Source organism: Homo sapiens, chromosome 19 (genome assembly GCF_000001405.40).
Source record: "Homo sapiens chromosome 19, GRCh38.p14 Primary Assembly".
NCBI lineage: Eukaryota > Metazoa > Chordata > Mammalia > Primates > Hominidae > Homo > Homo sapiens.
The window spans coordinates 33,767,154-33,786,679 of record NC_000019.10 but is presented as its reverse complement, the minus strand read 5'-3'; the positions used below and the strand labels follow the sequence as shown (position 1 = coordinate 33,786,679).

Sequence of the window (19,526 nt, the reverse complement as noted above, 5' to 3'; positions counted from 1 at the left end):
AGAAGAAGATTAGATTATACAGCTGTCTGGGCACAGTGGCTCACACCTGTAATCCCAGCACTTTGGGAGGCCAAGGTGGGTGGATCACTTGAGGTCAGGAATTCGAGACCAGCCTGGACAACATCTCTACTAAAAATGCAAAAATTAGCCAGGCATGGTGGCACATGCCTGTAATCCCAGCTGAGGCAGGAGAATTGCTTGAACCCAGGAGGCAGAGGTTTCACTGAGCTGAAATTGTACCACTGCACTCCAGCCTGGGCAACAGAGCAAGACTCTGTCTCAAAAAAAAAAAAAAAAAAAAAAAGATTACAGCCTCCACTGTCACAGTTGGTCTTGGAGCTGCAACAGATACTCAGCTTCTCTCCTCCTTATTATCTCTTCAGGACTCCTGCACCCTCAGCGAACAGCAACCTGGTCTCAGGGGCTTACCTGGTGGAAAAACCAGATCTTCATCCCTGAGGGGTCTGAGACTCTGGCCAACATCACCTTCTCAGACCAGAGTTGCTGCACTTGCCCATTCGCTGTCAAAACTGGGCAAGGGAGTATCGAAAAGCATCCAAGTGGATTAACCAGACACCAAATAGATTTCTCCCAGCCCCACTGTATAATAAAAATGCTCCCTCTTACTGATGATCAGGGCTTGTGGTCTGGCTCAGGTCCTGTGGCAGGAAATGCAAACCTATACTCAGAATATGTATTTATTCCTGACAAAATGAGTCACTACTTCTTCCAGGATGAAAGCGATCCAGTATGGTCGGCTTGCCACCAAGTGAAGGGTGGGTGTCCTCATGGAATGGTGGTGCATTCCAGACTTAGCATCGATCTCTGCTGCTGGAGAATCGGAGATCTGGCAGGAGCAACAGCAGCTAGGTCAGCCATGCTGAGTGGGAACCCATGCTGTTGGACCTATACATAGCCTCCATCCCTGTCACCACGTCCTCCTCGTGTGTGTTTTTTGTACCAGCCATGAAGAGGCCAATGACAGAAGCTGGCTGATGTCACTTAGCTAAGTTGCCAAGAGGGTAACTCATCTTGCTTGCTGGTGTCTTAGCCCAAGCAGTCTAAAGTGTCCAGGCAGCAGCCACAGCTTACAGTTCCACAGGACTCTTGCCGTGTTCATTGATAGACGCATAGCTCATGTGGGAAGCAGGATTTCCAAATCCTCAGAGCCCAGGTCTGTGGGAACAAGAAGCACATGTTCTCCAAGTGGGCAGATGAGCATGAGGGTAAGCAGGACCTCTTGCATCCGCTCTTTGGTTCCCAGACCCATCTTACCTAGGACATAGGGTGTTGGTTTCCTGTTGCTGCTGTGAGAACACACCACAGATCTGGTGAGTTAGAACAACACAAATCTATTACTTTACAGCTCAGGAAGTTGGAGTCCAACATGAGTCTCCCAGGGTGGAAATTAAGGTGTAGGTAGGGCTGCATTCCCTCTAGAGGCTCCAGGGAGGAATGATTTCCTTGTCTTTCTCAGCTTCAAGGGGCCTGTTGCTCCCTTGGCTCATGGCTCCCACTGTCTTCAAAGCCAGCAAAGGCTGGTTGAATCCGTTTCACACTGCATCACTCCCACAGTGACTCTCCTGCCTTCCTCTTGCAGCTAGGAGAACCCTTGTGATTACATTAGCCGCCCCTCACCCCCAGGTAATCCAGGATAATTTCCCCACGTCAAGATCCTTCACTTAATCACATCCTGTCTAGATGGTCCTCTTTGCCATGTAAGGTTACATAACCACGGGTCCTGGGAGTCAGGATGCAGATCGCTTTGGGGGAAAAGGGTGATGATTCTGCCTACCACACCCAGGTAGACCCATGTCCACCTTTTGTTCATTTAAGGTACCTACTTTCATCTGGAGAATGGCACCTCATCTTTGCAAAAAGCTGTGATTTCAACAGGCCCTTCCATTGCTTATCAGATTAGCAGATTCGGAGGGATACGGTAGATGATATGACCAGCCCACCCTTGCACCTCCTTTCTGTAAAGTGAGTCCCTTTATCTGATGCAATGGCACGTGGGATGCTGCGCTGTGCATCAGACACTCTGTAAGCCCTTGGGCTTGTGGTCTGGCTCGGGCCCTGTGGGCAGGAAAGGCAAACCCATCCTCAGACTTTGTGTTTATTCCTGACAAAATGAATCACTGCTCCTTCCAGGATGAAAGGGATCCAGTGTGGTGGGCTTGCCACCAAGTGATAGGTTGGTGTCCTCATGGAATGATGCTGCATTTGGGACTTAGTGTGGGTCTCTGTTACTGGAGAATTGGAGATTTGGCAGCAGCAATAGCAGCAGCTAGATCAACCATGGTGAGTGGGAGCCCCTGTTGCTGGACCCATGCATAACCTCCATCCCTGTCACCACGTCCTCCTTGTGTGTGCTTTTTGTACCAGCCGTGAAGAAGCCAATGACAGAAGCTGGCTGATGTTGCATACCCAAGTAGTTCTGCCCACTTGGTTGCTTGGTGCCTCTTCCAATGAGTGCTAATGTGAGAGACATCGTCACACTTTGTGCCAAGTCCCATCCACATGACTTCCCCTTGTCTCCTAACTTCTAATCTTTCTCCTTCTAGGCTCCTGACTATCTGGCCAAGCCATCGGCCACTGCCCATGAGTCCATGTATATTCTGAACTCAGGCCATTTCCCTTTTCACCAAAGTGGATGACCGGTGTCTAAAGCTCTACCCACTGGGAGTATTTCACTTTACCACCATCTTTCCAGGCCACTCCTGGGTGGAGCTGTGGTGCACACACCATCCACTGCTGCAGTGCAGACACCATCAGCTTTTATTTTGAATTTTTATTTAAAAAAAAAAAAAGATATGGGGGTCTTGCTGTGTTGCCCAGGCCTGTCTAACTCCTAGCCTCAAGCAATCCTCCTGCCTTGGCCTCCTGAAGTGCTGGGATTACAGATGTGACCACTGTACCCTGGTCACCATCCACTTTTTTTTTTTTTTTTTTTTTTTTTGAGATGGAGTCTCACTCTGTTGCCCAAGCTGGAGTGCAGTGGCACGATCTTGGCTCACTGCAACCTCCACCTCCCGGGTTCAAGTGATTCTTGTACCTCAGCCTGTGGAGTAGCTGGGATTACAGGTATGTGCCACCATGCCTGGCCACCATCCACTTTTTACCTGCTTCTACACAAGCCAACACATCTGTGAAAAAAGCTCTAGCCTTTTCCTCTTTCATTAGCTGATCATGCCCCTCACCATATGGCCTCAGAGGTAAACTGAGGAAGAGGTCTCAGTGCAGCAGTGGGGATCCCAAGGTGCCCAGGCTCCCTGCTCACACAGCTCGCTTGTGTCCTCCCACCCTGCTTGCACTTGATCCTGGGTGTGCCACTTCTATCTTATTATTACTAGTTAGAGACAAGGTCTTACTCTGTCACCCAGGCTAGAGCGCAGTGGTGCAATCACAGCTCATTGCAGCCTCCAACTCCTGGGCTCAAGCAATTCTCCTGCCTCAGCCTCCTGAGTAGCTGGGACTGCAGGTGTGCATCACCAAACCTGGATGATTTTTTACTTTTTGTTTGTAGAAACGTGGTCTCTCTATGTTGCTCAGGCTGGTCTCAAACTCTTGGCCTTAAGCGATCCTCTTGCCTCTGCCTCCCAAAGTGCTGGGATTACAGGTGTGACCACTGCATCTGGCCAACTTCTATCTTTTGATAGGAGGTGCTGAGTCCACTTGGCCTTTTGACTTGGTGGTTCTGACAGGACCCAGTTCATGATGGGCAGCTATGGCTGCAGTTTCATTGAGATCCCACGGTGATATGGTTTGGCTGTGTCTCCACCCAAATCTTATCTTGAATTGTAGTTCCCATAAGCCCCACGTGTCATGGGAGGGATCCACTGGGAGGTAATTGAATCGTGGGGGCGGTTACCCCCGTGCTGTTCTTGTAATAGTGAGTGAGTTCCACAAGATCTGATGGTTTTATAAGACGCTTTTCCTCCTTTGCTCGGCACTTCTCTCTCCTGCTGCCATGTGAAGAAAGACGTGTTTGCTTCCCTTTCTGCCATGATCGTAAGTTTCCTGAAGCATCCCCAGCCATGTGGAACTGTGAGTCGATTAAACCTCTTTCCTTTATAAATCTGGGTGGCAGAGGACCTTGTGGGAGACTCCTCCCACTTCTCTGTGGTCCCAGATCCTCGATGCTCAGCTCTGTTCTGAGCTGGGGGCATAAGGGTGCCATCACCCAGGTCTAGCACAAGGCCTGACACGTGTGACCGCTCTAAGTGTTGGATGGAGATGTGCTGATAGCCTCTTCTATGCGCCGAATGTCCCCTGACAATATTGTGTCCTATGTTGAAATCCTCAACCCCAAAGTGATGGTGTGAGGAGGTGGGGCCTTTTGGTGGTGATTAGGTCCTAAGGGTGGAGCCCTCGTGAATGGGATTAGCACCCTGATAAACGAGGCCCTGGGGAGCTCCTCACCCCTTCTGCCATGAGTTCACAGCAGGAAGAGGGCCCCCTATGAACCAGGAAACCGGCCCTCCCCAGACACTGCATCTGCTGGCGCCTTGATCTCAGCCTCCAGAACTGTGAGAAATTGTTTGTTGTCTGAGTCACCCAGTCTATGGGATTTTTGATGTAGCAGCCCAGACAGACTAAGATGGATGAAGACAGCCCCTCAGCCTCATTCTGGATCCTTCTGGGCATGGAACTTGACCGTAGTACACCCCTCCTTCAATGGTTCCGCTGTTTCCAACACAAAATCCAATCTCCTTATCCCTTATCCAAAATCCAAGGATCTCCCTGACCTGGCGTCTCCCAGTTCCCCCATTCCGTGATCCGCAGATGTCTATGTGGGGCTCACACAGTGTTTGTTCACACTCCCCTGGGCTCAAGCCCACTCCTCCTTCTGGTCCCGATTCATGTCCTGAGAGCCAGCGCTAGGAGGTCGCATGCTCCATCAGTCTTCGGGCACTCAGCGGGGGTCCAGGCCAGGGCCCCCCACCCTCAGCCGTGTTCCTTGGTCACTCTCCAGAGCCTTGGGTCACTCTCCACTGACTGTTAGGCCAGCAATCCTGCCTGCAGATCTACAGAGAGCCGAACCTTGAAAAATGATGACGAGCCCTTCTCCTCGTGTCATTAATCCTCTCATGACCGAGGCATTTCCCCCAGGGTGGGCACAGGCCCAGGGTGACTGATGGCACCTGCCCAGCCTCTTGAGGACTTTGGCCAGTGGGAGGTGTTGACAGCATTTCCCAAGTGAAATGCCACATGGAGATTAATGACCCCCGAGCTGCGGGCTTTGGGTGGGCAAGGCTGGAGCATAGCGGGGCCCCCCAGCCTGCCAGGTCTGTGGAACGCTTCCTGCACCCCAGTCCTCTCAGCCCCTTCCAGGAACAGTGCTGTGGGTTCGCTACCTTTGCCCGGGTTCTCAGGATCTCTCAGAAATGGTTGCCTCAGCTTCACGCCTGAAACCTCAAACACAAATAATTTTCAATTTGCCTTGGAGTTTCAATCCCACAATCCGATGTTAAATAATAGATTAGCTGCCTCAGGGAGAGAAACAGGATTTAAGAAGAAGAAATAACTAAAAGGAAAAGTAAAATTCAGCACATCGGTTTGGAGAGCAAGAATGCAGCCTTCCCTCCCGGCCCAGATTTGCCGACCCCATCTCATCCTCCCAGACGTGGCTCGCTTCCGGGTCTTAGGGGACTGTCATCCACACAGCATGGTCTCCCCAGAGGCAGGCTGGAGGCGTCAGCAGTCCTGGGCTCATCTCCAGCTGGTGCGGCCAGATTGGCAGACTCCGTCTCCCACGCCCCTGCTCTCAGGCCCTGCACGCGGAGGAGGGGGCTGACCTGTAGCCCCAAAACCACCACCCACCAAGGCAGAGAGAGACAGATGGGTGTGGGTGGTCACAGGCAAACTCAGGTAGTCACAGGCAGGTGGATACAGGCTGGAACAGGTGACAGCAGGCAGGTAAGCAGGCAGGTAGCAAGTGTGAACTGATGGAGCCAGAGGCACAGGTACAGGACCACCGTGTCACCAGACCCCAGAGGAGGCTGAAGAGGGTCCCTCTGTGGGGCGTGACTTGTTCACAAGCCCTGGAACCGAGGTCATCTCCATCCAGGAGATTATCATGGTGGGCAGAGGTGAAAGTCATCATCGTGATCCTGGCCACTGCCACCCCTGGCCACAGTTTGCCTGTCACCACAGGAAACCACACCATCTCCAAGGTCACAGGTCCCCAACTCCCGCCTCACTTCCTCCGCAGACCCCAGCGCCTTCTCTCTGCCTATCAGCCCTTCCTGTCTTGATGCCCTTCCTCATCCAGCCTTGTCCTGATTGGGTGACTATTCTCTGTGTCCTTCACTCCTCTGTCACACAGGTCTAGGAGGAGCCCCGCTGTGACCTTGCTTATGCTGCAGCAGGAAGGCATGCTGGTGCCCTGCACATCCATCATAAACTGCAAATGGGTGCAAAGCAATGCCTGAGACACTCCCTCTCTTTCTCCAGAGAGCTTGTCTTTCCCTTGCCCTAGTGACCATTCAATTCCTTCTCTGCTGTCGCAAAACCTCCTACCCCATTGGAACACCAGAGAGCCAGTAAGAACTGTGCACTCATGGGCACACAGAGCCAGGGCCAAACCATCAGGCTCTGAATTCTGGAAGATCCCCATTATAGCTGTGTGGCCTTGGGCAGATTACTTAACCTCTCTGTGTCTCAATGTCTTCATCTGCAAAAAATGGGGAGGATGATAACGGTCTTCCAGGGTTGTAGTGAGGATTAGATAAGCTCTTATATGTGAAACGCTAGCCAGGCGAGGTGGCTTAAGCCTGTAATCCCAGCACTCTGGGAGGCCGAGGCGAGTGAATCACTTGAGGTCGGGAGTTTGAGACCAGCCTGTCCAACATGGTGAAACTCCGTCTCTATTAAAAATACAAAAATTAGCCCGGTGTGGTGGCAGGCCCCTGTGATCCCAGCTACTCGGGGGGCTGAGGCAGGAAAATTTCTTGAACCTAGGAGGCGGAGTTTGCAGTCAGCCGGGATCGCGAGGGGCAGGGTACAAAAAATATGAAATACTTAGAGCAGTACCTGGTAAACCGGTAAATTCCATAGTTACTTATTACTTTAGGTGCCAAGGCAGGAGATGCTAGTGTGATAATGGCTTGGGTTAAATGACAGCCCTGGAGAGGGAGAATGGACATGGATTCAGTATGCCCTTGGGAGGCAGGGCGAAAGGGACGATCCAGGGCTTGTAGGGAAGGCTGAGCCGGGAAGCCGGGAGAGGAGGGGCTTGAGGTGTGAAAGGTGTGCGGCTCAGGTGAGACGTTCAAGTGGAGACACCCGCTGGACGTGCCGACAGCTGGGGGTGAGGCGGCTGGCCATGGGGGTCTACCGATCAGGGCTGCAGGGGCAAATCCGGGAGTCTAGCACAGGGGTGATGGGGAGCTCGCCCAGGGAGTGTGTAGGCAGAAGAGTGCCTGGGATTGCCAGCGTGCGGCAGTGGAAGGTGCCTTGTCAGCGGACTCTGCGGGTGGCAAGATTGGAAGGCAGGCCAGGGTGGGGTCCAGAGTGGAAAAGGAGGTGAAGCCATGGGGGCTGAGGGGTGGGTTCTGCCAGGAAGGAGAGGAGAGAAATGGGCAGGCGCTGCAGGGGCCATCTGGCTACGGCTTCCCCGTTTTTAAAGGTGGGGCATTGACAGCTTGTTTTCTGCTGATGGGAAAGCCTGCTGTGTGTGCAGAGAGGGCGCAGGTGCGCGCGGGAGGTGCTTAAGGAGTAGGCTAAGGGACTGGGATCTGGTGTGTGTGTGTGTGTGTGTGTGTGTGTGTGTGTGTGTGTCGGGGGTGACCTCTGGCCAGTGCAGGAGGGGAAGTGGAGGACAGGGCTCAGCGTGGGAAGTGCATGCACTTGGCTGAGACAGTGAGGGACCTTCCGGTTCTTCCCATTTATTTCAATGCAGCAAGAAGCCCCGTCCTGAGCCGTGCATGTTTCTGTGTGTTTACGTGTGTGTCTGTGTGTCCGCGTGCATCTGGGTCTGTGTGCATGCGTGTGTCTGCATATCTGTCTGGGTGTGTGTTTGTGAGGATGGGTGTCTGTGTGTCTGTGTGTGTGGTTGTGTGTGTCTGTGCGTCTGTGCCTGTGTGTGTGCATGCATTTGTGTTTGCGCGTGTGCGTTCGTGTTGTGGTTGAGGTTGGAGAAGGCCTGACATCACCCTGATGGAGCGTGCAGGACAAGCCCCCGGGGAGGTTGTGGATGTCACTGCTTTAGGGGCGCTGCGGGTGTTTGGGGGCTTAGTGTTAGCACAGGCGGGTCCCCTGGAGCTGGTGGGTTTGAGAGTAACCTCTGGAGGCCGCCCGCAGACAGTGGAGGGGCGGGAGCCCCGTGACCCCATGGTTGGGAGGGCGAGGTGACAGAGGAGCCGACTGCGCGGTGGGGAGGCTGGGGACGCGGGGCGCCCGGGAGCTGGAGCCGCGCGGCCAGAGCGCTGCTGCCACCTGGCGGCCCCGCCGGGGATCCCCAAGCCGCTGCTCGGGAGCGGGGACTTAGCCCCACCTGGCGGCGGAGAACGGCTCTGCGCCTGTGGGTACGAACGCGAGGGAGCCCCTGCCGGCCGCTTGGGCGCAATCCCAGCTCCAACTCCTGCGCTGCACAGCTCTGGCCACGCCTTTCTGTGCCTCAGTCTTCTCACCTATACAGTAGAGCGAGGCATGAGTGGACAGCACCGCTGGGAGAGGGGCACTGGGCAACGCACACGAGGCCACAGCGCAGCACCCAGCACGAGTGACCCCCGACACCTGCACCCCCGACACACTCAGGGTCCCAGTCCCTTGGTCTCCTCTTTAAACACCTCGCGCACGCACCTGCACTTCTCCACGCTCAGCACTCACTGTCCACTTGACTCAGGCTGGCATACCCAGGTGGCGCGGAAGGGTCGCCCAGGCCCGTGACAGGAAGTTGCTCTCTCTGCCCTCTGCCCCTGCCCCCTGCCCCCTTCCCTAGCTTCCAGAGCTCTTGGCACCTCCAGCTGCTCCCCTGCTCCTCCTTTCCTGAGGCCGGCCCAGGGTGAAGGAGAGGCAGGAGGATAGTCCCCTAGTAGCCCCGGCCTGGCCCAGACCCCGGGTCCCCCTCTGCTGCCATCTCCCAACAGAGCCTCTTGTGCAAAGCGTGCCCTGGGCAGTGAGAAGGGCCAACAAGCAGCCAGGCCAGGGCAGTGTGAAGAACCCAGCTCAGGGCTCCCACACCCCCTCCCCGGCCCGGGCAGGGCAGTGGGGCTAACATACAGTCCTCTCCCCACACCCTGCTCCCCGGGGCGCCTGCCTATTCCTCATTCAGGAGTCATGGTACCCATCAGCTGGGAGTCCCCGGAGGTAGGGGCAGTGTTACTTGAGCCCAGACTACCCCACCCCCAACTTTCACCTTTGCCCATTTCTGGATCCCGTGGTTCAACACAGCCTCTTGTGCCCAGCTCTGGGTCCCCTGGGCTTGTAGAGCAGTGGAGGAGTGAGGGACGCCAGCAGGATGTTCGCTGGGTTCACCACGAGTGCTCCCTGAAGAGGAAGGGGCCAAGAAGAGATAGGGGCAGTGAGGTGAGGCCGCCTCCAGGCCTCAGAACCATGGGCTCCACAGGCTCCTGTCCCCCACCAAGGGGCTCAGCCCTGAGGATGAAATTGGCAAACCCTGCCTGAGAGTAGGGGGAGATGATGGGGGACCCCCTGTCCACTGCCTGCCTGACTTTGTCCTGGGCCCCTTGGACAGGCCCTGTATGGGCCACCAAACCCTGTCGAGACAGCAGGGAGGAGGGGGAGCTGGGGGGAGCCAGAACTGCCCGAGTTTCCCACCTGACCATCTGTGTGGACCTTGAATCCTATCTCCCCAGGATACTCAAGGCCTTTGGGGCTCCCAAGCCCCAGGAGGGACCCTAGGCTTTGGGACGTCTGTTCTCGTCACCACTCAGAGAGTGGGGCTCCCATCCAGGAGGTCTCAGCCACTCAAGGGCAGAGGCCTGGCAGGGACTTCCCTGGGGCCGCCCGGAGGGGCCCACAGGGGGACCAAGCTGGGGAGGGCCCTGGGGCTTGGGCTGTTCTTCTCCCAACTCAATGGGCCTCCTTTGCCCCTGGGAGCTGCCAGTGGCCCTTTCTAGGGTCTCTGATCAGTTGGCCCCTTCCAGGTGACATCCACAAAATGGCCAGCGAATGGGCAGGGAGAGACGAGGAGCAGGTGCACGAGATGGTCCTGGAGACGGGCAGGACTCAGACTGCACACAGCCCACACCCGGCATGGACGCGGGCTCACACACAATGCACACCCCTCACTCCAGGAACACACACACACAGACACACACGCTCCCACTGACCCCATAGCACAGGCTAGAAACACACACACACACACACGCTCACACCCACCCCACAGCACAGGCCAGATACCTCCCTCCCCCCACACACACCCACATACTCATTACCCATTTAGCCCACAGCACAGGCCAGACACCCACACAGACACACACCCACGCAGACACACAGACCCACATTACCTGTATGCTCACTCCCATCCACATGATACAGGCCAAACATACACTCACACTGTACAGGCCAGACACACACAGAAACACACATACAGACATACACTTACACCCACCCACCCCACAGCACAGGCCAGACATACACACAGAGACACACACAGACACAAACACACACATGCTCACACCCACCCCACAGCACAGGCCAGAGACACACACACACGTTCACACCCACCCACCCTACAGCACAGGGCAGAAACACACACACACACACAGACATAGACACAGACACACACACACACGCTCATACCCACCCACCCCACATCACAGGCCAGACACACACACCCACATGCTCACACCCGTTTATCCCACAGCACAGGCCAGACATCCACACAAACACACCCACCCACATGATCCATATGCTCACACCCACCCACAGTACAGGCCAAACACACACACTCACAAACACACATGTGGAGAGTATAGGCCAGACACACACATAGACATATACGCGCTCACATCCACCCACCCCACAGCACAGGCCAGACACCCACACAGACACCCAGACACACACACAGACACATGCACACGTGCACACACACATACTTCCCTACCACTGCACTGAGTCGGCTCTTCCTGAGCCCTGTGAGGTTTGGGGCTGGGGTTGGGGGTTGGAGCTGGGTTGGTCTCCAGGCTGGGCCTCTGGCCTTCAGTTGGAGGTCACTCTCAGGGCTGTCAAGTGGTGATCATGGTCACTGCCTGCACCTGTCTTCTGTCATCACCACCTGCAACAAAAGCCCCCCACTGATGGATGCGTTGTGTGTCCACGTCTGTCCAGCTTGAGCCGGCGTTTCTCTGAGAGATGATACAAGTGCATGTGCCTTCTCCCCCGACACACACATGCAGACGCACACACACGCTCACCCAGGGGAGGGGCTGTGTCATCCTCACTGTCTCCAAGCTGCTCCCAGATGCTGTGTCAGCGGAGAGTTCAGGTGTTCCCTGCTGAGCAGATGCCATAGGGGCACTGCCTCTGGCTTCACCAAATGCACCCATGACCAGGGACACTTTCCTGCACATGAACGTGGTCTCACGTTTGAGCACCGGGACCCAGGGCACCTCTTTTTAGGTTGTCCTCAGCCAGGCACTTCCCTGTCTCCTCTCACATGGACCCTGGTCCTGGCCAAGGTGCAGGGCAGCTACTCTGGCTTTCTGGGCCCCTCAGCATCTGCTGTCTCAGCTTCCACGGGTCCCAAGAGTTCCCCAGGCCCTGACCACAGCCTCTTCCCTGCCCCTCTGGGTCACTTCTGTTGGATGGTCCAAGCCGCTTCCAGCTGGAACCCGAGGGAGGTCTCCCTGCTTCTCAGATCTCCTGGATGGATGTTACCCCAAAGGGGCAGGAGGAAGGCTCAGTGCCTTGTTCCCCTTTGCAATGTTCCAGGGTCCAAGATGGAGGCAGAAAAGGAGATGGAGCAGCTCAGGCTGGTGTGAGCCTGGGGAGATTCCAGAAGCACCTCCAACTAGTAATACAGGAGCGCCTCCAACTGAGGATCCAGCAGCTCCTCCACCTGGGGATCAGCAATTCCTCCACTTGGGGATCCAGCATTTCCTCCATCTGGGGATCCAGCAGTTCCTCTACCTGGAGATCCAGCAGTTCCTCTATCTGGGGATCCAGCAGTTCCTCCACCTGGGGATCCGGCAGTTTCTCCACCTGGGAATCAGCAGGGCCTCCACCTGGGGGTCCACCCAGGGATCCAGTGGCACCTCCACGTGGAGAATCAGCAGCATCTCCCCTAGCAAATAGGGACAGACAGAGGGCAGCCTCCTGGGAGGGCCCACAGAGCAACCCACAGAATGACCCAGGAGGGCATGCAGAGGCTCCTGCAGACAGGCTGACAGAGGGCAGAGACTCCAGAGTCAGGCAGCCCTTCCCATCACAAACAAAACCCAAATGCAGCCACACTCATGCCCACACTCAACACTCCAACAAACACCTCCTCCCAGACCTTCCCAGAACCACATTGACTGCTGACACTTCTGGAGCCCTCTCTGGTGTGAACATGTATGCTTTTGGAGAAGTTTCCTCTATGGCTTCTCCTCTCCTCCTCCAGAGCATGTGCATCCTGACAGCCCTGAGGTGGTTTTGTCAGGTGAGTGGGGCCAGGGATCAGGGTGAGTGGGGCCAGGGATCAGGGTGAGTGTCTGCAGATGACAGCCTCAGGCCAGAGTCCTGCTTGGCTCAGAGGTGCAGAAAGCCAGGGACAGCCTTGCTTCCTGCTGGGAGTACCACACCCACCGAGATGCATGCCCCGTGCCCCCTGGCTCCGGCCTCAGCCCTGATTGGCAGCTTGCCTGGAGAGCTGGCTACTGCTCTGGCAGTCCCCAGAGGCCCCTGCAAGGTGCACTGATAAGAAGACACCCCAGGAGGCCCCCATAGGAACAGGCCTATCTTTTCCTTTCAGGATTAATGTGCCAGGACTGAGACGGAAGCACCCCAGTTGACTGGGACCTAGCCTCAGACGCCTGCAGGTCCTGGCTGAGAGCCGCTGGGTCCTCTGTGCTCTTCTCCCAGGAAGCTGCTCCTGAACTGGACTTCTCTGCAGTGGGGCCTGCAGCACCTGGCTCAAGCTGCCCCGGGAAGGCAGAAAGAGCCCCAGAAAGCCCAGCCCAGGGTCCACGTGCTCCCACGCCACCACAGAGTACACACCGCTGCTCTGGAAACCATGTGCTTTATTTGGAACCTTAATCCAAGGGAACCTCCCCCCTGGCTCGTAGAAAAGCTGCAAACCACGTGGTTTGGTCCAAGGCAATGGCTAAGGGAGTGCGGGACATCCCTTACCGCTGGGCCCCCCGTCCTCTGGGCCTCAGACTTCCCTGCTCATCAAAACTGTCGGCTGAGCTCCAGGGGTGTCTGCCCAGTTCTCAGCCTCTCCCTCAGCCAAGGAATGAGGAAACAGGTACAGGCCAGGGGCTGGGGTCCCCATCCAAGGCTGGGCGCCTCTGCCCCCCACCCGGGGCCTGCTGCCTCCCACAGCGATGGCTCCTCACGTCCTCAGAGCCCTGTTGCTCCCAGGATGAGGAGCCAGGGACAGGAGGATGCCCGGGAGCACAGGTGAGTGACCGGGGCAGGGCGGCCCCGGCCAGCTGCGGCGCCCCTCAGTACAGATCTGCAAAGGGCTTGGAATAGTTGAACATCAGGTAATCCATGTAGTAGAAGTCGTAGGTGCGCTGCCTTTGCAGGGCCGAGAGTTGGGCGAAGTACTGGTGGGCGATCCTCGCTGTGGTCCGCGCCTCCTGCGAGTGCCGGTCCTTGAACCGGGGGAAGGTCAGGTTCCGCGGCGCGCGGATGAGGCTCAGGAAGAAGTTGGCATCGTCCTCCATGCTCTCGAACTTGCCTACGAAATCGTAGTCGATGAGGCAGGGGCTGCAGAGCCGGCTGACATGGTCCCAGTGAATGTCCATCCCCACGGGCCGGTGCACGTCCAGCAGGTACTGGACGAACTCGGGAAAACGCACCCCAGAGCCGGTCCGCAGGGCCTCCCGAGAGGCATTGGCGCGGTACCGGGCCAGGATGGCCTTGCCGAAGACCGGGTGATAGTAGCTGTTGGGGTGCTCAAACTTGTCGCGGAAGGCGGACACCAGCCTCTCGAAGGGCTCGCGGACAAAGAGCATCTTGGTGTAGGTGCTGAGACGGTGCAAGATACCCTGGCGGTCGAAGGTGTCCAGGCGCTTGAGAGCGCTGCCATAGTGGACGGTGTTGTGCTGGATGTCGGCAGTGGACGAGGCCAGGCCGGCCAGCACCATGAGCACCCGCTTCCAATTGGAGCAGCCGGCCTTGGGCACCTCGCAGTAGAGCACGCGGTGGCGGTCCTCCACGAAGATACGGGACACGTGGCGGGGCGTGACGGCCCGGCGGCTGCTGCTCGCCCGGTACTTGGCGCAGGCCTCCTGCATCACCCGCTTGCGCTCCTGCTGGCTCCGGTGCAGGCTGACCCAGCGGCCATCCAGCGTCCCGGGTCCCGGCCGGATGAAGGGCGCGTCCGAGCTGTTGGCCGGGATGGTCGCCGCAGCTGGCATTTTCTTGATGAGCAGACGGCGACGGCGCTGGCGGAGCCGCAGACGGGTTCCCCTCTGCAGCGGGGGTTGAGGCTGGTCAGGCGCTGGCAGGTTGCGGCCCCTCGGGGCCCCACTGGATAAGTCCCGAGTGACCCTCTCTGTGGGTTCCTTCAAGTCACCATCCTGGGAGCCGCCTGGTGGGAGGTCCTGGGGCAAGAAGAGAAGTGGTTATCTGAGTGGAAAGGACAGCTGGGCACTGAGGGCCACACAGGTCAGGCTCTCACCACGGCTGGGGTTCCTGTCCCTCTCAGGTGAGGGAGACAGGCTGACTCTGTAGGTGAGACCCCTCCGGTCTGAGCCCTGGCCCGGCACCCAAAGGCCTCCCTCCCGCTGAGGTGTAAGTGTCATTTCGGCCACAAGATGGCGCGGTCCTCCCAGGAACCTGGCCTGGGAGAGGGTGGCGGGAATAGGTGGCCTGCAGGCGGGCTCAGATTTACGGCCTCTATTAGCACCGTGCAAAGAAGCCTTCTAACAAGGAAGGGAAAATTCATGGGTCCAGAGCCCTGGGCTTTGTTCCCAAGGCTCCTGGGAAAGGCTGGACACATTTTTCTTTCCAAGAATGGATCCAATGTGAGCTCCTAATTTTCTTCCCAGCCCTCCCCAGTTTCCCAAGGGCTGTGTGCACTGAGATTTATCTGACTCTCAGAACTTACGTGGTGGGGCTGCCTTGGCCTGATGTTGAACTTTATTCCTGAAAAGCAAACAGAGGAGAGGACAGTATTAGCGGATCTGCCACATGGCTCCCAGGGAACTGCTTATGGGCTGCTGGCTGTGGACATCCAGGCTGGAGGGATCTTGGGGTAGGCTCTAGGGAAAGGCAGCTTAGGGCATGGCTCAGTGCTGGAGCCCCTCCATCCCCTACCCATGCAGAAAATGGGGACGCAGCAAACATGTGGTCCCACTGGCTCGCAGCTGAGGCTCTCTTCTCTGCATCACGCCTGCCTCCTGATGTGATCTACAAGGTCTGGAAAGGCACCCTGCCCAGGTGTGCCCATACCTGCCCTGTGGAGCAGCCAGGACTCTCACAGGCCACCTCCTCCTGCACCCCACCATGTCATTAAGTCACAGGGAAAGGACCCTTCAGAAAGCTCGATCCACTCTCTCTCCACACCCCATCAGCCATGCCCCAGTTCTGGCCACTGTGGATTCTCTATGCTTGGAATATGATTCACACCCACACCTTTGCACACACCAGGCCTAGGAATGGAACGTGCTTCTTCTCCTCTTGCTACAGGAAGTTCCCTAACCTGGGCATTTGCTTTGTGATCTTGGCCTTCTCAGCTGGCTCTGGAGTTCTGGGGTGAGCTAAGCATATCTTGCTCGCCCTGGTCTCCCCCAAAGCCCTAAGCAGCGCCCAGGTAGAGGGTAATTGTCCAGCGTTAACTTACTGATGACCTCAGGAAGACACAGAGAGACCAGTGCATCAATGGCCATGCTCTGGAACGCCCCCTCTGCCTACCAAGGAGGCCCATGCCTGGGCTGGGCTCACCTAAGAAGCAAGCTCTGGTGAGGTGAACCTTTGGCCAGAGCAGAATATTCTGTGTCATACCTCATTTGGTCTGCTTTGGGGGAAAGTCGCAGGAGGACAAGGAGATTCCCTTTGGGGGGAATCTATTTAGAAGCTGGAGCCTCCTTCCCCAGTCCCTACCTGGCCACCGAGGAATCAGGGGCTCTTTCTGCTCCAGTACCATGTGGGTGGACATTTTCGTCCTGAGGCTCTGCCAAAAGCCATGGTCACCATCAGAGCCAGCTATCCCTTAAGGAGAGAGCTGGATCTTCTGGCTGGCGCGCCGGGGCACCATGCCCGACCACACCTGAGCAAATCCTGGCTGCTGCCTGCGGGAGGGGGGTTCCAGTGTCCCACCACTTTCCTGGCTGTCTCCACGTCCTGGGCAGAGGTCCAGTGGCAGGAGCCCAGCTGGTGAAGGGATCTCCAGGTCTTCCCTGAGCCAGAGATTCTGTGGATTTCTCCATGAGGTCCAGTTTTACAGACTCAGCCACTGCCATGCCCCAGACAATGTAAGGCTGAGGCCGTGCCCGCACGTCTCCTTCAGTCATTAGCAGGCCAGGAAGGAGATGCAAGGTCAGCCCTGGAATGGACAGCCTGAATTCCCTGAGCTTGCCCGAACCTTCCTCAAGTCCCAAGAGAGGCAGAAATGCAGGCAGAACTGGGACACATTTCATCTTTCTTCCGCTTGTCCCTTTGGGCTGGGAACAAGGGTATGCTCTCCCCTGGGCAAAGGGCAGAGTGTCCCCATCTTCCTGGGCACTCCCAAGCTTATGTGCACATGCGTGCATGTGGGGGATCTTTGAAACAGGCCTTCTAGACTCTTCCCTGGAGACTGAGGGGAAGCTCCAAGTAGACCTGGCTGCACCCTTCAGGGTGTGGGGTGTAAGTAGCAGGTGCCTGGCCTGAGAGAGGAGTCTTTAGAATCAAGCTGCTCATTGCCACCCCCTGCCATGCCCAGAGTCTATTTCCCTCCTTGACAGCCACCCCCTCCTCTTCCCCATCCCATCATTACTGCAGCTGTCCCAGCACGAGCCTCCAGAGCTCCTTTCTCTCCCGCAGCCGATGATGACAGCTCCCTTCACTAGAAGGGACCCGCTGCACCACTTGGTTTTCCTCTACTCTGCCAGATTTCCTTAATTATTTTCTTCTGGTTATGGCAGCTGGCTCTGCTAAACCACCTCTCCTCCTCAGAGTCTCAGATATGGGAAATCACTCTGCTTGTCACTCCTGTCATCTCATCAAGGTGTGACGGTGCTTATATATTCCTTTTCTAAAGCAAATGAGTCATGCCAGATTTGGCCAAGAGTGGGGCTGAGAAGCCACTTCCAAAAGGGATCCTGCCAGTCGGGGGGAAGATGGAAGGCCATGTGCTTGTTGAGGTTGCAGCCCCTGAGGCCATGACCTCCCACTGGCACTGTCCCCACAGCCTCGGAGGGCAGTGGGCTGTGGTCCTGTTCCATTTTACCTGTGAGGACTGGACAGGGGGACACTGTCTCCTGGACCTCTGGACTCTGAGCCTAAGCTTCTGGGGCTGTCCCACTCTAATGCTCGCTGAGCTAGAGCCCTTGGCATTAACTAGAGGAAAAGTTCCTTCTAGACAAAGCCTGGGGCTGGGCGAGTCTCCTGATTTCCTGTTTACATGTGTCCATAAAGCCAACCTGCCTGCAACTTCCTCCTTTGAAAGGAAAAATTGCCTTGTGGAGAGTAAGAGAGATCAGTAACATCTTAAGTAGAGCCTGAGTTTGCCATAAGCTATTCCCAACCCTTAGACTTACGGCAGCTTATCAGGCAAAGATTAGACCTATCCCCACAAGCTCACTTTAACATTTTTAAAAATTTACTGCCGGGCACGGTGGCTCATGCCTGTCATCCCAGCACTTGGGAGGCTGAGATGGGCTGATCACTTGAGTCCGGGAGTTCGAGACTAGCCTGGCCAATATAGTGAAACCCGATCTCTACTAAAAATACAAAAAAATTAGCTGGGTGTGGTGGTGCATGCCTGTTATCCCAGCTACTCAGTAGGCTGAGACATGAAAATTACTTGAACCCAGGAGGCAGAGATTGCAGTGAGCTGAGATCACACCACTGCACTACAGCCTGAGCAACAGAGTGAGACTTTGTCTCAAAAAAATAAAATAAAATAAAGAAAAAGAAAAAAAATTTACATTTATTTTAGAAATAGTTAGAGATGGGGTCTTGCTATGTTGTCCAGGCTGGTCTCAAACACCTGGCCTCAAGAAATCCTCCTGCCTCGGCCTCCCAAAGGGCTGGAATTATAGGTGCGAGCCACCATACCTGGCTACAAGTTCACTTTCGAATAAAGAAGAAACGTAATGAAGGAAATCTAAAGGGACCTCCCCTTTGCCGTGAACCTAGTGTCCCCACTAGGAAGAAAACTGCTCTTCCATGCACCAGTCAGATAAAGGCTGAAGCAAAAACCACTGCTGGCTCTGGGCAAGTGAAAACCAGGAGAAACCTTAGGTATCCTGGGGCAGGGGTCTGCACATCCCCAAGTGGGCTGCACGTCAGGACCCTGGACAGCTCCATCAGCGCTCAGGGAAGTACAGCTAAGGGCTCACGAGGATGAGGAAGGTTTGCCACCAGGGGTCAGTGGTACCAGTGCCGTGGGGGGCACTTATGGGTGGGAAGGAGTTTTGGCCTCAGTATAACCACCTCCAGCCCCTCTCAAGCCCCCAAATAAAACGTACAATCTAGATAACATCAGTGGCCTTGCAGAGCAACTCCAGCCACAACCCACCTCCTCTTCCATCCAACGCCACCAATGCTGCCACGCACCTTCCCTGCCTCCCCACCTCCACCCCTGCGACAGAATCCAAGACCAACCACGCACACCCCACTTTCGGTGTCTTGAGTTACCTCTCTTCTCCTGTCAATATAAGGTTCACAATCTGTAAGGGAGCTCCATCCCCCCGCACAGTAAGAAATAAACAAGCACTTTCTCTTTCTGGACAGATGACATGCGTGGAGTGGCTGGAACACATGCGCTATGATAAGAGCATCGGTGAGAATAAACAAGGCGTGAGTTATGGGCACTGCCAAATGTGTTCCACAGTGTGAACTCTTCATTGGCTGAAGTTCTCAGCGTTTAGCTGAAAAGCCTCCTGATTGAGGAGAGGCAGAGACTGATGAGTGTGTGAGGCCAGTTTCTTAGTCATCAGGCCTGGGTTTGGGGCAGAGTTGGGGAGGAGGCTATACCAGCATGTCCAAGGAGAAGGGTCTCTTGCCCGCTCCTCTCTAGGCTCACAGGAGGAAGACCTGCAGGGTGCCACACAAAAGCCCCAATCCCCACTGCCCAGGAGCCATGGAGGGTGGTAACTGGGGAGCAGCCTTTTGGTCAGGCCCTGTAGACAGGCAGCACTGACAGGTGAGGACAGGACCCAACTGCCTCGAATGAGCCCTTGGCCTCCCCCAGCCCCAGG

At 56.0% G+C, this 19,526-nt stretch overlaps 1 protein-coding gene across 6 annotated transcripts in view, besides 1 other annotated feature; it reads right to left on the bottom strand.

Annotated features, from left to right (window-relative positions):
* Window positions 8,294–8,453: a silencer, noted in NCBI's record as "silent region_10499". NCBI's record gives its function as "represses an Ori minimal core promoter by ATAC-STARR-seq in GM12878 lymphoblastoid cells {active_cell/tissue: GM12878}" and the evidence as "EXISTENCE:reporter gene assay evidence [ECO:0000049][PMID:35858748]".
* The window catches only part of CHST8 (carbohydrate sulfotransferase 8), a 151,557-nt gene continuing 145,201 nt past the window's right edge, over window positions 13,171–19,526 (bottom strand). For 4 of the 6 annotated variants that reach the window (NM_022467.3, XM_011527224.1, XM_011527222.1 and 1 more), the window contains 2 exons: window positions 15,230–15,267; window positions 13,171–14,723 (listed from right to left, as the gene is read on the bottom strand). In NM_022467.3, coding sequence (NP_071912.2) covers window positions 13,617–14,723; window positions 15,230–15,267 — 1,145 coding nt within the window. In that variant the 3' untranslated portion in view covers window positions 13,171–13,616. The remainder of the gene's footprint in view (window positions 14,724–15,229; window positions 15,268–19,526) is intronic. The other 2 variants (NM_001127895.2, NM_001127896.2) reach the window with 1 other exon arrangement.